The sequence below is a fragment of the Homo sapiens genome, chromosome 12 (assembly GCF_000001405.40).
Source record: "Homo sapiens chromosome 12, GRCh38.p14 Primary Assembly".
NCBI lineage: Eukaryota > Metazoa > Chordata > Mammalia > Primates > Hominidae > Homo > Homo sapiens.
The window spans coordinates 77,303,699-77,321,627 of NC_000012.12; the positions used below are offsets into that span (position 1 = coordinate 77,303,699).

General features: G+C 37.9%; 1 long non-coding RNA gene across 6 annotated transcripts in view; it reads right to left on the reverse strand.

Moving 5' to 3' along the window:
- LINC02464 (long intergenic non-protein coding RNA 2464) overlaps nt 1–13,536 on the reverse strand; it is a 97,632-nt gene extending 84,096 nt beyond the window's left edge. For all 6 annotated transcript variants that reach the window (NR_187539.1, NR_187543.1, NR_187542.1 and 3 more), the window contains exons 1-2: nt 13,232–13,536; nt 8,452–8,532 (exon numbers count right to left, since the gene is read on the reverse strand). This is a non-coding gene — a long non-coding RNA (long intergenic non-protein coding RNA 2464). The remainder of the gene's footprint in view (nt 1–8,451; nt 8,533–13,231) is intronic.
- Between the last annotated feature and the right edge of the window lie 4,393 nt (nt 13,537–17,929).

Genomic DNA, 17,929 nt, shown 5'->3' on the forward strand with positions numbered 1-17,929 from the left:
GAGAATCTAATGCCTGATGATCTGAAGTGAAACAGTTTCACCCCAAAACAGCCCCTCTGCCACCATGCCCCACATGTCCGTGGGAAAATAGTCTTCCATGAAACTGGTCCCTGGTACCAAAAAGGTTGGGGACTGCTGCATCAAAGAGACAATTTACCAAAAATAAGATTCATTCAATACTAGTCCATTGAGACAGTTCTTTAAAAAGTGAGGGGTTCTTTTTTGGTGAAACAAGTATGGAGAAGACATTGTATCCACTGATTCTAAAATGGTGTGTGTGTGTATGTGTGTGCGTGTGAGTGTGTCTATAAGCAGCAGGTGTGACATAGCTGTACTTGTCTACATATCAGTGAACATAGTTATTATTCTTGGAATAATGAAAACTTCTGGATGCTTCAGTCACTTTACAGACCATTTGAGTCCTTGCCTGATCTCTGGAAACTTCTTTGACATCTTCTAGTCAAGAAAGTGCCAATATCAAAACTTCCATAATAGATACAAGTAGCTTGAGATGATATTATAGGGACCATAGTAAAACACTCTTAAATATTGTGTCAGCAGTGCTCTTGATGACACCAAAAAATATTGTATAAAAAATGATAGCGAATCTTAGTTTGAAAAGTTATTCAGAGAGTCAGATTCTAAATGTGAAATTTTGTTAATACTGTAATCAATTACCTTTGCCTTTTTATATATGCATGTGGCTGATACACAACGAAACTCTACCTATAAGTTTGCAGCACTGTCAGTATTTAAAAAATTATAAATGACTAATAAAACATCATGTCATATTTGGTATTATTATTTCTTACTTAACAATACTCAAAATGATATATCTTAATAGTATTATATGACAATTTAAATTCAATGAATATATTTACCTCTTGTAATGCATGGAAGGATATATACCTCTACATATCAGCATACAGAAATGCTAATAATTATGATATTAGAGGCCCTAAGTTTTACAGTAGAGAAGTAGATTAATTTTTATATACATTTTATGATAATCCTTCTACTATAAAATGTATGTCTTGTATGACTTAATTTTATATTTCTAATATCAGTTCATAATACAACTTTCATAAAGACATGCAATATATGCCTACATTAGAACTATGTTAACTTCTAAAACTGTTTTTGAGATAAATATTTACTTTCTTTAAATAAGAAGGATTATTTTAATTATTTTCAAAGGCAGGTACTCTAATCAACCAACATTATTCATGTCCTTAACTTACTATAGGTCAGTTCATAATAAATTAGGCATTTGAAAGAAATTCTTTGAAATTAGATTTCAAAGATTAAATAATTTGATTAAAATTATTTTAATTAGATTACCACTTGACTGAAATAAACAACATATGTGTTAGAGTAGCAATAGCACTTAGGATGGTTAGTTTTATGTGTCAACTTGACTGGGTCATAGGGTACCCAGATATTTGGTCAAACATTATTCTGGGTGTGTTTGTGAGGATGTTACTGAATTAGGTTAGCATTTGAGTTGGTAAACTGACTAAAGCAGATTGTTCCCCCTAATGTGTGTGGCCCTCATCCAATCAGTTGAAGGCCTGATCCAACAAAAAGGTGGAGGGAACTCCTCCTCCCTGGCTGCTTGAGATGGAACATTGGTCTTTTCCTGCCTTGACCTTGAACTGAAACATACTCTGCTTGGGGCTCCAGCCTGCCAGCTTTTAGACCATCAGCTCTCTAAGGTTCCCAGTTTGCTGACTGCAGATCTTGAAACTGCTCAGCTTCCATAATCATGTGAGCCGTGCATATATAAGTATACAACCTATGGTTCTCTGGAGAACTCTACACCAAACCTTATAATTCTTTCCTTTTCTTTTTATTTTGGAGACAGGGGCTCACTCTCACCCAGGCTGTAGTGCAGTGGTGTGTTCACAGCTGACTATAGCCTCAACCTTCTGGGCTCCAGTGATCCTCCCACCTCAGCCTCCCAAGTAGCTGGGACTACAAGCGGGCACCACCATGCCTGGCTAATTTTTAAAATTATTGTTTGTAGAGATGGAGTCTTACTATATTGCCCAGGCTGGTCTCAAACTGCTGGGCTCAAGTGATCCTCCTGCCTCAGCCTCCCAAAGTGCTGGGATTACAGGCCAACCTTGATCATTCTTTTTAGCCTCTCACTACTCAAAGTGTGACCCTGGACTGGCAGCATTGACCTCACCTGAGAGCTATTAGAAATGCAGAATCTCAGGCCCCACCCAAGACCTACTGAATCAGAATCTGCATTTTGACAAGATCCCCAGGTGACTTGTATGCACATTACATTTGAGAAGTACTTCTTTAGACTATTTTGAAGTCTTTGCCTATAATTTGTGTTACTAGAGTACAAAAGAACCTTATAATTATTTGACATTAATACTTCAAGGGAGGCACAATAGGGAGATTGTAACAAAGTTTTTTTTTTAGAATTTTGCATAATATTTGATGAATAATTTTGGAATGACAAGAGGAAAAAAATTACCTTTGAAATTTATATTCCTGGAAAATTTTAAGGTTTACCAATTTCCAAATAATAATATACTACAATTGACATCTGGTTATTCTGTAGCAATAACAAGCAGATTTCTATAATTAACATTACAAATAAACCTTGTAGATACCACTGTGAACACCTTCAAACATTTTAACATTGATTAAGAGTGGATTGCACAACTGGCCTGTGATACACTGTGGCTAATAGTAATAGTAATATCTTGAATTTTCTCATGCAAAGAATAACATTAATATAGCACTTTAGAATTTTCAAATAAAGTTCACATACATCAATAGCCTATAAGATTCTTTCGATAAGCTTGTGAGATAGCTATAGGACATTTCTTCTGAAATACTTTTATAATTATTACTTTTCTTATATATTTACCTTTTTCAAGTCAGAAAAGCCAGTTTAAATTTAAATTTAATAAATATATTTTTTGATACTGGCTCAATTTTATTATTTTCAATTATTATTAGTACCACTCCTATTGCTCAAGCAAGACTAGATTTTGTTGTTGACTGAGTTTTCCTCTTATTTATATTTTTTGTGGCAAAGAAATCAAGCACTATTGCTTCTTTCCTTGGCAGCCCACTTGCCTCCTTTCTGAGTGCAACAGGGAAATGGCCACGTGTAATTCATTTGACAGCCTCTGCTTTTTGTTTCCGAGGAAGTAACTCTACTTAGTTATCATCACCCAAAAGTGTCTTGCTGTTGGGCAGAGATGAAGTTGCTATTGTATCTGCATGTCTAAGGTAGGATTTAATTATGAGAGAAGAAGATATCCTATCACACTGAAATTTTATCTTGCCCAAGGGACATTTAGGCATGGGAGGTTAGCCAAGAGATATCAAGAGAGCAGCTGATGCAGCTGAGACTGGATCTCAGTCCTGGAGAATTGGGCTGCTGGTGCTTAGAGGAGTGAAGAGGACTACAGGGTACTTGTCTTTTGGTTTAGATAAAACAATATTTTACTCTGAATACAGGAAATAAACTGCCAGTTTTGAATATTGCATTATAATAACTTGGTGTATTTGAAAGACAGTAATGTAAGAAATGAGAAAATTGCTTTCTAGTAGTTATTCCACTTCACAGACACATTTATAGAATTTTCAGACAATGTGTTAAGAGGAAAGATGATTTGAGGATATAGAAGTATCACTTCTATGAGATCAAACTTAAAACTGTTTTTACTATATTATGTGAACAACATCCAGTTTTTTTTTTTTAAGATTTGAAATTCCCTGGTTGGGTTAAAAAAATAATTCATAAATGTAAGATTGGGTGAACAATTAAGCTGATTAGTCAAAATACATATTTCTTTCTAAAACTAATTAACTGTTCACAAGAATATAATATAATGAAAAAGACTTTGTTTCTAAGAATTCAAAGCCATAAAAGTAAAGGGCAAAGAGACAAGGAGAGGTGATGTAGAAAAATGGACTCATTCCATGCATAATTAAACAAAATTAACTCTTTCATGAAGATTCAAGATTGCTAATTAATACTAAAACTTCAACTTTTCAACATTTGCCATTGCAATCACTTAGCTTCTATCATACTCCCTCTAATCTCTCTCTCAAGAGGTTTCTTTCTTCCTGCCTTCAAACAAGCAGTTTGCTCTATCTTGACACAAGAGAACAAAACAAAAAAAATTTCTAGCTAGGCCTCACTATTCCCCCAAGGCACCACTTTGTATTTATTGTTCACTCCTTTCCTGCCAAAATTCTCTTTCCAAAGTCACTGCCACACTCTTCGTTCTTAAAATATTTAACATAAGGAAAAGCACTGAGCATATAGCTGGTACTCCGATATTTGTACCTTTTTTCCTTGTATAAATTCCAAGGGTTTATTTCCAGAGTCTTTGGCTCCTTTGATCTCTCCATAGTAGTTAATACTCTTTACTTCCAGTTGAATTTCCCCCTTCCGGTTTTCCATGGTTTCTCTCTGTTCAGATTTCTGTGTTACACTGGCATTTGTCTCCATTTGTAAGTCACACACCACACTGTTCTCTCTTTGACCACACTTGCCTTGACTTCTTTGATGACTTATCTTTTTCTTCCCACTCTTTCCCCTTGATGAGCTCATCCACAAGGCTACAACCCATGCTCTAAGATGCAAAAGACTCCCAACTCTGTATTGTAACTACTAATCTCCTTACCAAACAAAGTCAAATTGTTTGTTAGATATTTCCACTCAGATGTCCTACTGTTAGCACAAAACCAATATTTTTCAAATTCGATTAATTATATTTGATGCTAAACCAGCTGCATTAACTCCCACTTCCTCTTGGCATCAGTATTATTCTCATCACTTAAAGTCAAAACTCCTGTTTTTTGCTTGATTTTTTTCCCTTTTTTATTTTTTGGTTTATTAAGAAGCCTAATCAATCTCTAGATTCAGTAAGGCTTTTCTTAGAAAATGTCTCTAGTTGCTATTCCATCGTTTTCATAATTTCTATAGCCAACACAAATATTACAATCTTTTTCCATGTCTTTATGGATCACAATGATGCTCACTTGGCAAATAGGAGACACATTTCAGTTTTATTAATCTGTGCATAGAAGAGTATCCCACTAGAGTTTAGCTTTTTTAAAAAAAATTTCTCTCAAGAGACGTGCCAAAAACTTGCTTTGGAATCAAAAAAGGTATCCTCAACCTTCATCATCCCCCAAAGATATAGGGGTTCTTTCATAGTAGGGTAAAACCACCTTTGGTTGACAGAGGCCTACATTCCTCAGAAGAGTAACAACCTTGTGTTTGGAGAATATAAAATGAAAAGATCCCCAACAACCTGGGGAGGGAAAGGGAAAGTGGTCTCTGAGTGGCTCACACTGAACCAATCCAGACCCCAAAGAACTGAAAGCCAAGAGCTACAGCATTGGAAACTCAAGTAAGGGGTACCCTTGCCCTTGTGTTAGCACTGAGGGAACGGGCTCCTGCTTCCATGCTGAACGACCATAGCCTGGAGCTGGGTTATCAGGTCATTATTTCAGAAATGGGTTGGCATTGACTTTTGAGTTTTATAGAACCCAACTTCCATAGTTCCAACCACACAGTAACAAGAACCACAGTGTACTAGAGTCCAGTGTTCACCCTTATTGGATGTGCAAATTGGGCTTCGTGGATGCTGAGGGTTTTAGTTGATGAAAGGAGGGTTCTCAAGAAGAATATACGTGACTATCTACTAATAAAGATACTAGGGACTCAAGATATTATGGGGAAGGTGAATTTTTTTATTATTTATTTATTTATGTATTTATTATTATTATTTTTGAGACCAAGTCTCACTCTGTTGCCCAGGCTGGAGTGCAGTGGCGCCATCTTGGCTCACTGCAACCTCCACTTCCTGGGTTCAAGCAATTTTCGTGCCTCAGCCTCCTGAGTAGCTGGGACTATAGGCATGTGACACCACACCCGGCTAATTTTTGGACTTTTAGTAGAGATGAGGTTTCACCATGTTGCCCAGGCTGGTCTTGAACGCCTGACTTCAGGTGATCCATCCCCACTTTGGCCTCCCAAAGTGCTGGGATTACAGGCGTGAGCCACCACACCCGGCCAAGGCATTTTATACTAATTTCATATGCAAGCATACTATAATTTATAGGATATCACAGGTTTACTCAGGATAATCTCAGTTTAAACCTGTTATCCTGGTGTAATTTTGAATAGTTTTCTCTTTATCTTCAATGGTTTCCTAGTTTGGGTGATGTATTATGTGATTTCCCTTCCTATAAATCCAAAATTCTGAGGTATTGGTTTGAGGAGGGGCCTCTTACCTCCCATATGAATTAATATTGGGACTTTGGTCCTCAGACACACACAAAAACTATGCATTTTTTGAAATACTTGACCAATCAGCTTTCCCACAAAGACCACAGGCTGCCTAGTATGTCCATTTTTATATAAACTAGAGAAGAGAGTTGTAGGCTTCCTCTACCCCTCCACCTTCCCCTCAGTGGGCAGGATGTGCAATGTCTGCTCTGCTGTGCATATTCCACAGAAACAAGAGGGACAGGATAGTTCTTTAGTGAAGGAATAGAATTCAGGCTTACTAGCAAGACAAAGCTCAGTGAATCTCAGACACTGATCAATTGGAATAGCTTCTCTCTTTTGGGTGCATGCAAGAATGTTGCTTTTAACTCTTTTTTTTTTTTTTAATAGGAGAGAAAACTCTTACATGGACAACTCCCAAAATGAATGGTGTGACTTCTTCAGCCTATGGTTTTCTAATTGGTCTCTTTGTTCCCCACATATCTCTTCTTTAGTACATTTTACACTTGATCACTGCAAAACACAAACATGAATTCAGATTGAACTTTCAAGGCCCATTACTATCTGGACTCTGACTCTGAATTTAACTTCATCTTTTTAGTTTTTTTATGTCCAGGTCAAGTATTAACTTCCTTCATTACAGAGCAATCTCAAATGTAATGGGCAATATGAATGATCCTGGGATCCACTGAAAATGAAGATTCTGATCCACGGGTCTGGGTTGGGTCCAAGATTCTGCATTTCTAACCAGCTTCCAGGTGATGTATGTATTGCTGCTCCTCTGGGCCACATTTTTAGTATCAATACTCTGTAAGGCCTAGTTAAACGTCTCAAGCTCAGTTTAGACCTTTTTCTTCAGGACGTCCAAATTAAGAGTTGCAAAATTGTCTTTGATTGTTCTTAATGACAGACTACTCATTTTGAAGCATATAATCTCTAGGAGTCCTATTTAAGTGTTTCATTATCATATGCTGTCATCCCATGTAGATAGAAACTCTTTTAGTGCAGGCATGGTTTTCTATAACTTTTGCAGTCTTCTGTAGTGGGGTTACACTGCCTTGCACGTGGTAGATCAACAATAAATATTCTGATTATTCTTGAGAGGTGACTTCCAACTGTTCTATCACATGAGATCCTGAGATACATTTAAGTGTACAGTTTGGCAACACGCAAATATTTTAAGCAAATTATAAAATATATTGAAGTTAGAAAATCTGACCCATCTGAAGAAAATACTTATTTAAATTATGAAGTTACAATGACAAAGCAAGAAGTAAAGTTCTTTGCATATTAAAGGTGTTATAAATCTCAATAGATTTCAAGAACTAGGTTAGGGAAGAATATGTAATATTGGTTTGATTATACTAGTTCTGGAAAACACACAAATCACAAAATTATTGGTTATCATCCTGAAAATTATTTCTAAACTCATTTATGTAAAATTCATTTATTGGCCACAAGTATAATAAACTGTTGTGGGTAGAGTATATCCTCACAGTGAGTTCCTATTAAAGAGTTTTGAAGCATTTCAAAAGATAGACGGTCTACAGAAATAACATGCTGTAAACACTCTTCAGAACTTTAAAACAGAGTTGGAAACCTCCCACAGACATCAGGATGTAACAGCCTGTAGAAAGGCTGGTGGAAATTTTAGCAAAATAAAGGAATAAAATGGTCATAAATCTTGACTAAAGACTTTGAATCTCAGTTTTCAAATGAATATATTGATTGAGTCATCTCTTAAAGTTCTCAAAGGAAGTCTTATGTTCCTGAGTAAATTTTATGGATATAGATGTTTCAAAATATGTGCTTTGCCAAGGGTTTGCACTTGCCTTCAGTGGAGCAAATATATGTCTGCAATAACTTTAACCTTTTCCTCATGAAAATCTCATCACTTCTTTAGGATCTCATGGTTCAGGAAAGAAATTGAAAGGACCAAATATTTTCTTACCTTTACCTCATTTTCTATGGGATTTTTATCCAATTTTGCTTCATTTTCAAATTAATGAAATATTATTTGGGCATTCCCCACTTATATTCTTTTTGGTAGCATTGTTAAGAAAGAAATGGTTCTTATACAAACGTTCTTAAGATGTGTCTTACTCTGTTTTGTGTTGTTATAACAGAATACCACAAACTGGGCCATTTATAAAAAATAGAAATTAAATTCTCACAGTTTTGGAGGATGGGAAGTCTAATATCAAGGTGGCAATATCTGGCAAGGGCCCTCTGGCAGCATCATCTCAGGCAGAAGGCTGAGGGGCAAGAGAACACAAGCGTGAGAGAGAAGAAAGGGGCCAAACTCATCCTTTTATCAGAAATCCCCTCCAATGATAACGAACATATTCCCTCAATAATGGCATTAGTTCATTGAGAAGGGCAGAGCCCTCTTGGTCTAATCACCTCTTAAAGGTCCCACCTGTTGACACTGTTGCACTGGGGATTAAGTTTCTAACACATAAACTTTGGGGGATACATTCGAATAACAGCATTCCATCCCTGGCCCCTAAAATTCATTTCCTTCTCACATGCAAAATACACTTATTCCACCTCAACAGCCCCAAAACCTTAATTAATTCCAGCATTAACTCAAAAGCCTATAGTCTGGAGTCTCATCTGAGTCAGATACGCGTGAGACTAAAGGCAAGATTCATCCTGAGGCAAATTTCTCTCCAGCTGTGAACCTGTGAAACTAACATTACATATGCTTCCAAAATACAATGGTGAAGCAGGCATAGGATAGACACTTACATTCCAAAAGGGAAAAATAGGCACAAAGAAAGGGGTAACTGGTCCCAAGTATACCTAAAACCTATTGGGGAAAATACTATTGTCTCAAAGATGGATAACAGTCTCCTTTGACCCCATGTCCTGCATCCTGGCACGCTAGGGCAGGGTTTGTACCCCAAGACCTCAGGCAGTCCTGCCCCTATGGCTTAGCTGGGCTCAGTTAATGCAGCAACCCTCATGGGCTGGAGTCTCATGCATGCAGCTCTCCCAGTCTGGAGTTGCAGATTGGCAGCTCTATAGTTCTGGGGTCTCTGAAGTGGCCTGTCTCCTACAGCTCCACAAGGCCTTGCCCTAGTGGGGACTTTCTGCAGTGGCTTTACCTCTGTGACAAGTTTCTGCCAAGACCCTCAGATTGTCTAATACATCCTTTGAAACCTAAGTGGAGGTCACTTTGGTGCCACAGCCTGCATAGTTGGCATGTTTGCAGAGTCAGCATCATGTGGACACTGACAAGGCTTACTGCTTGTGCCCTCTGGAGCTGCAGCATGAGCCACACTTGGCCTGCTTGGACCACAGCTAGGGTAACCAAAGGGAGTTGTGCCAGAATTCAGGGAGCAGAGTCCCAAAGTAGCATAGGGTAGCAAATGCTGAGGTCCCAAGACACCTCTCTGGAAACCTTGCCCTCCTAAGTTGTCTCGAAGATCTCTGAAATGCCTTCAGGGTCATTCTCCCATTGTGTTGATGAATAGAACCTAGGTTTCTTCTATTCATATTAACCTCTTTAACAAAAGGTAGCTTGGTCATGGTCTCAGCATTCCCTCCCAAACATTCTTTTTCATTCTTTACATGGCCAGCCTGATAGTTTTCCAAATCTTTCTGTTCTGCTTCCATTTTAATTATAAATTCCATATTTCAATTTCTCTCTTTCCTCATTTTATTGTGCACAGCTACAAGAAGCCACACAGCACCTAGAACACTCTGCTGTTTAGACATTTCTATGGCCAAATATCCCAGTTCATTGCTCTTAAGCTCTGCCTTCTACAAAGTCCTAGGACACAGACACAATTCTGCCAAATTCTTTACAACTATATTACAAGGATGGCCTTTCCTCCAGTTTCCAATATGTCATTCCTCATTTATTTCTAAGATCTCATCTGAAAGGCTTTTACTCCCCATGTTTCTACTGGCATTCTAGTCATGACCATTTAATTAATCTCTAATAAATTTCAGAATTTCCTTATAGCTCTCCTATTCTGATCCCTCACTAGAATTGCCATTAACACTCCATTTACAGCAATCTAGGCTTTTTTCTAGCCTGCTCCTCCAAATTCTTTCAGTCTGTACCCATTACCCAGTTCCACATATTCAAATATTTATCATAGCAACAGCCTCACTTCTCAGTACCAATTTTCTGTCTTAGTTCATGTTGTGTTGCTATAACTAAATACCACAGACTAGGTAATTTATAAAAAAAAGAAATTTATGTCAGTTATTGGAGGTTGAGAAGCCCACTATCAAGGTATCAGCATCGTGTGAGGGCCTTCTTGCTGTATCATCTTAAGGCAGAAGGCAGAAGTGCAAGGGAGCACAAGTGTGAGAGAGAGAAAAGGATCTAAATTGATTCTCTTATCAAGAACCCACTCCTGTAATAACTAACCCACTCCCACAATAATAGCTTTGCCTTCATGACTGAATCTCCTCTTAAAGGTCTCGCCTTTCAACAATGTTGCATTAGAGATTAAGTTTCCAGCAGAAGAACTTTGGGATACATATTTAAACCATAGAAAGCTATTAGTGCAATTTTCTTATAAAGGATATAATCTTTACCAGCCCCAGTAGCTGACATTGTAACTGGATACTGCTTACAATTAAGGGTGGGGACTTAAATAAGCTTTGATTCTTAGGTTGATTAATGATAATTGGTATTAACATAGGACAAACACAGTTGTTTGACACAAGTAGTAAGTACCCCCTTTTTGGGTACGACTCTTGATAGAGCTGATAATGAAACTGGCTTTGTAAGTGCTTACAACTTCAACAAGTTTATAAATTACCAGGAAAACCTCCTAGTCTGCAAAACATCAAGGAGACAGACATTAGCATTTCACATCTGCTCTTCTGTGACAGTTATTATAGGAGCTGAGATATGACTCTGCATTTCACATCACATGATTCTGTTTCCATCCATTCTTACAGTGTCTTGGATTGTGGATTGTGGCTTGAGTCAGTGTTTATGCAGAAGAGTTACACAGTGAACAAAATGTCAGGGGGTCCAAAATGAAGTGCCACAATTTGTCACAGAGTTGGGGTCCTAACTGAGCTAAATTATAGACTCTTTTTAGTAAACAGAAAATAATTTTTGAGAGTAGAAAATCAAACTAAACCTCTGCACACACATACTGTCTCTCATACACACGTATACATACTTTTGATACTATTTGGGGGCCAATAAGGAAGCATTTAAATAATGCTTTTTAATGATTTTAATGAAACATATGCAGATCAGAAATATGATAGCTCATTCTTATCAAACATGTAGAGTGAACACTTACATGTACATTTTAATATATTAGGAGCTCAGAGGTTTAAGTTTTTACTCAGTAACTCAGAGTTAAAATATAGATTAAAATACCTTTATATATGTATGTGTGTATAAAATTTGATATACATAACACACATATATATATTACATAAAACGTAATATGTTTTGAATATTTGGGGATTATATTCATTGACAAGTAGCTTTAGGTTAGATGAGATTATGGAGAAAAGCTGTCTTCATGCTATTTTTAATGAGTTATTTTAGCACTTAGTACCTATTTGCCCATTATCCACATTATTTGTAATATGTTGACTTTGCTATGTTTGAACTTCCAACATCTACAGAAAGGGGGCATTCTACGAGTGGAGTAAACAAATCAATAAGTCGGTCTGTGTTAAGTTTTTAGTTCCCAAAGGTACCTTGCCAAAAGCATTAATGGAAGCCCATAACCAATAGTTGGAAGCTAATGAAATCTCTCCCCAGCTGGCCCTTTCCAATCCCTTAGTAAGAGAAAAAGGTACGCTCTTGTTACTATGCTTGATGGAATGAAAAGTAAAATTGTACACTCTATCCACCACTAGTTACTACGAGAGTTCAGGACTGTTCCTTCTCTCTTTTTATTCCATGTAACTTCCCATTTAAAACTAGGAACTTTGAATGCATGGAAATAAACAGAATTTTCTTCAGAGGAGAAATTTTATGAAGAACTGTTGATCTGAGGCACAAAATTCTCATGTTTATGAATTTTTCACATATTCAATTAGACTCCCTACAGGGCTGAATGAGGGGTGATACTAGCTTTCCATTTATAATATTTTATACTTATTCATTGGCTCTATATCCACTGATAAGGATAATTCAGTGGATAATTCCTCTTCCTATATATTGAGCTACTGAAGTAGAAATTCCCCTACCTAATTCTGGATTCCTGAAAGAAAGTGGAACAACAGTCTTTTCTTGGAGTCTCTACCTAGCAAGTCCCTCTTGAATTTTTATTTGTACTGTCTCTGTGTGGCAAGAAATGCTTCCATTTTTCTAACTTTATCTTTTCTCTGTATCATCAAGCCCGTGAAAAAAATTATTCTCCATTCCATTTTATTTTTATGCTAATTCTCCTATTTTTGCTGGTTTTTCCCAATAGATAAGAAATCTGTGTAAGGGTTGACCAACCACTAACTTTTTTTTTCTGTCTACAACTAGAAAATCAGGATTGTCCTAACAGAAACAAGGCAGCTAGTTTGAAGAAATTGGATATACTCAGCTTGTTTTGATTCTATATTTATTGGTTATTTATGGGAATATATGCCTGCCAGGGAATTCCAAGTCACAAAGCTTAAGGCAGGTGCCAACCTCCTCTTATTTCATTACCTCAGTTTGATGTCAGAGGTAGGGATTTTTGTAGAATTTTTAGACCATAGCATGGATTACTGTGATCAGCATTCATATAAATTTAGTATAAGAAAGGGCATTTTGATAGATTAAAAAATCATGAAAATAGGTAAAAGTGATTTAATGCTAAAAAAGATAATAATCTGGATATATTGTGGTTTCAAACACTAGATATATTGTCTGTCTGTATTGTGTGCACTCTATGTTTTGTAGAGGTTTGTAATTCTACTGTCATAGTTTACAATACAGAAAAGTATAAATCTGCTGCTACTGGTGTTCATTCAATCGAGTACCTCTAAGGAGTCCACACAACTGCTTATAGCTCTTAAACTTGTCCTTATTGAAGATTCTTGGTGCTGCTGCTCTCTAGATCAACAGTAAGCGTTGTCATGAAGCCTTTGGGAGAGAAAGAAATGTAATTCTGAGCACTGATGAGAACAGAAATGCAGGAATCACAGCTGGCCAGTCTCATTTTCTTCTGGGTTACCAAGGCTATAAACAAGGGAGAGTGGGAATGGCCTGGAAATCAATTTGCAGAATATTTAAAAGGTCACCGTGGTCCAGAGTAGTGTGCTGCATTACTTGGAATGTATGATGTGAACAAACGTGTATGCCATATCTCTAATGACAACAATTGTGATACAAGAGAGGAACACGGTGCCCGTCTCCTGCTAATGGTTTTAGAATAGACTGAAACATATTTTCAGGACTCTAATTTAAGCTCACCTTATACCATGTTTTTGGGTAACTTATTTTGTAGCGATTTTATTTATCTATTCTTCTTTAAACTCTTTATTTTGTAAAAGTTTTAAACCTGTGGGAAAGTTACAAGTCTATTACAATTCACCTATATTCACCTCTCACTAACATTTAGTCACATTTGTATCCTCTCTCCTCATATATATTTATAAATGTATACATGTTCACAGACATACATATGTAGACACACACATTCTTTTTAAAAAATATTTTTAATTTAGCCGGGCGCGGTAGCTCACACCTGTAATCACAGAACTTTGGGAGGTCAAGGCAGGCAGATCACATGAGGTCAGGAGTTCGAGACCAACCTGGCCAACATGGCAAAACCCCGTCTCTACTAAAAATACAAAAATTAGCTGGGCATGGTGGCACATGCCAGTAATCCTAGCTACTTGGGAGGCTGAGGCACAAGAATAGCTTGAACCCAGGAGGCGGAGGTTGCAGTGAGCAGAGATTGTGCCACTGCACTCCAGCTTGGCTGACAGAGCAAGACTCTGTCTCAGAAAATAAATAAATAAATAAATAAATAAATAAATAAATAAATAAATTTAAAACTTTTAAAAACCTTCTTGTAGAGATGAAATCTCACTATGTTGCCCAGGCTGATCTCAAACTCCTAGCCTCAAGCAATCAACGTTTTAAAGCACTGGGATTATAGGTGTGACCCACTGGGCCTGGCCTCTTATATAAAAATTTATTTTTTACCCATGTCAGTGTAAGTTTAGCTGAAACCTCCTAACAACAGGTATATTCTCTTAAATAACTTCACTGCTACTTTTTTTCAGTGGCACGATCTCAGCTCACTGCAACCTCTGCCTGCTGGGTTCAAGCAATTCTCCTGCCTCAGCCTCCCGAGCAGCTGGGACCACAGGCATGTGTCACCATGCCCGGCTAATTTTTTGTATTTTTAGTAGGGACAGGGTTTCACGAGGCTGGCCAGGCTGGTCTCGAACTCCTGACCTTGTGATCTGTCCGCCTCAGCCTCCCAAAGTGCTGGGATTACATGCGTGAGCCACCACGCCAGGGCCCTTTCAAAGACAGGTAGTAATCTAGTCTTAAGATTTTTCTGATTGGAAAATTTACCTTTTCATTATTTTTTTCCAGGGGATCAACTTCATAATGAAACAGCCTCAGATGTCGGTCTATAATGGACACTCTCCACATAAAGGCCTCCTTGTTACTCACAGCAACCTCCTTTCCAATTACTCTTACATGCCCTTTCTTTTCATCATCTTTCTTTACTTTTTGTTCTCTTTACATTTTTCCTTCACAATTGATATTTTAAAAAGCCACTTACTGCCATTCTCTGTTCACCTAAACAACTTAATTACATTTCTGGGAGTTGCTTGGCATTTTTAAGTATACATGCCTGAAAAAAAGCAATCTAGGTGACATTTTGTAGCTTGGTGATGACTATTATTTCCTCCAGGCTTGGTAGGAGATTTCAAACTTTAAGATCTTTCCAGAGTTAGTTCAGTAGCTGATGTAGTTATTAACATTGCAGTTATTTGAAAAAACACAGGCAAAACAAATACTGATAATTTACTCTTAGAAAGCCTTTTCTCTTGTCGGTAACAGCACCTGATGCTTTGGCTGGCAACTCCGAACTCTTTTAGGATATTTTCCTGAAGCCCTCCTCTATTAAGTAGAGAAATTCCACTGATCCCAAGGAAGTCTCAGGGAAAAAAAATGCAATTTAGTAGTCTATTGCAGAACTTTTCAAAAGCAATTGCCAAATAGAGGCAGGGTCTCATACTATAAAAAGAGCTTATCCCTGAATGATCCTCCCTCAAGGGTCCAAGTTAGTAGCCTGAAATCAATTTAAGCAGCTGAAAGGATGAAAGAAGATTTCATGGTCTAGGGTGTCTTATTTTGAGTGCTCTGGTTGGGGTTTTCTTTGGCCGCTTGACTAGAGGCAAAGATTAGTGACACAATGCTGGCTTTCAGTCATCTAGCCTTCTATGCCTGTGGAACGAAGCTGAGGCTGTGGAAACTAGGGGTCCTGTTAATGTCTAGGTTTAGATGGGCAGGACTTTCATTGTTACATTCACACCAAGTCATTAAGAACAGCACTTGCCTTTTTAAGAATAACCAGGCTCTTCTTTCCTCTAAAAGCAGTGACAGGAAGAAGAATAGCCTCTTTGGAAGGCAAATTGGGCTCATTTGTGTAGCCAGAAAAAAACAAAGTTTTGATTAGTTTTTTCTTAGGCCTTGAATCTGGTGGTTTGGTTTGAGAAAAAAGGCAAACATCTTTCTCTCCCACCCTGAGATTTTCCTGCAATGTAATATAGTAAATGAACTCTTCACAACCATATTCATAACTAAGGTGCCCTTAGCTTTTAGTTCTGAATGATTTTTTTTTTTTGAGACGAAGTCTAGCTCTGTCGCCCAGGCTGGAGTGCAGTGGCACGATCTTGGCTCACTGCAAGCTCCGCCTCCCGGGTTCACGCCATTCTCCTGCCTCAGTCTCCCCTCGAGTAGCTGGGACTACAGGCGCCCGCCACCATGGCCGGCTAATTTCTATTTTTAGCAGAGACGGGGTTTCACCGTGTTAGCCAGGATGGTCTGGGTCTCCTGACCTCGTGATCCGCCCGCCTCCACCTCCCAAAGAGCTGGGATTACAGGTGTGAGCCACCCCGCCCGGCTGATAGTTTTCTTTTTTCTGATCAAGTAAGTAGGAATAGGTAAAAATAAAAATAAAAATAAACTACATGCGATTTTTCCATAGTTTTTTAGGGAAAAGGATTTTCTAAAAATTCAGCCATTTTCTAAGTTGTTTTCTTGATGGAGCCACACCACATTGGTATGTTGTAATAGGTTCCTTTTGAAAACAAAGTAACTCTCAAGATTCTTAATATTTAATTGCAGGGGCCTGGCGCATGACAGGACAGTGGTCCTCAAACTGTGATCTCTGGGCCTGCAGCAGCACCATCTGGAAACCTGTTAGAAATAATTGTTAGAACTTCCATAGTAGGAGCTCGACAGATGTTTGCTGAAGATAATGTGGGGTTCTCAATTGTAAAGGAGAATAATATCACTAATACCACGTGGCAAGGCAGTGACTCCCAAAGTTTCGCGTGCATCAGAATCATCAAGAAGACTTGTTGAAATGTAGATTGCTGAACGCCACCCGCAGTGTTTGTCATTCAGTAGATCTGGAGTGCATTTCTTTCTTTTATTTTTGAGACAGGATCTCAAGCTATTGTCCAGGCATGATCTCCGCTCACTGTAACCTCTGCCTCCTAGACTCAATCAATCCTTCCACCCCAGCCTCCCAAGTAGCTGGGACGAAGGCGCGTGCTACCATGCTCAGCTAATTTTTTGTATTTTTAGTAGAGACTGGGTTTCACCATGTTGCCCAGGCTGGTGTCAAACTCCTGGGCTCAAGGGATCTGCCTGCCTTGGCCTCTTACAGTGCTGGGATTACAGGCCTGAGCCACTGCAGGGCCTCTGGAGTGCATTTCTAATGAGTTCCCAGGTGATGTTAATGTTACTGTTCTGGGGCCTCCACTTTGAGGACCATTGTTCTACAACAGTGATTTTCAACCTTACCTCAAATTAGAATCACCTGGGGTTGATTTAAAATCTATTGAGGACTTAGCCCCACCCCAGACCAAATAAATCAGATTCTCTGTAGGTGGGTGTAGGCACGAGAACCTTTAAAATTTGTTCAGGTGATTCTAATCAGCAGCCAGGTCTGAATTCCACTGACGTTCATCTCAACAGAAGTGGTCCTCAATCCTGATTTCTCATTAGAACCACCTGGAAGGCTTTAAAAACCTTGTTGCCTAGATCTCAAATCCTAGAGATTCTGATATAATTGGTTTGAGGTGCAACTTGGGCATTGAGAGTTTTGAGAACTCCTCAGGTGATTGTAATATGCAGCTAAAGTTAAGAACCCTTGCCCTAAATATACCTTCCAGCTATAAGAATTTCATGTTTTAGTATAATCCTATGTAAAAGATACAACATTCAAAGAAAAGAAACATTCCTATGCTGATTTAATCTATAGACATTATATAGGTTCTAAGTTTATCTTGAGCTGATTTCATTAACTATAAAAGTTGGTATATTTATAGCAAATTAGCTAAGTTTTGAATTAAAGCCTTATCCTAAATGGCCATAAAATCCATTTACTTTCCAACACACTTACTTTTTGTTCACAATATATTTTTTGTTTGGAAAGATATCCAAATAATTTCATCAATCATACTTTAATTTATTCACACATT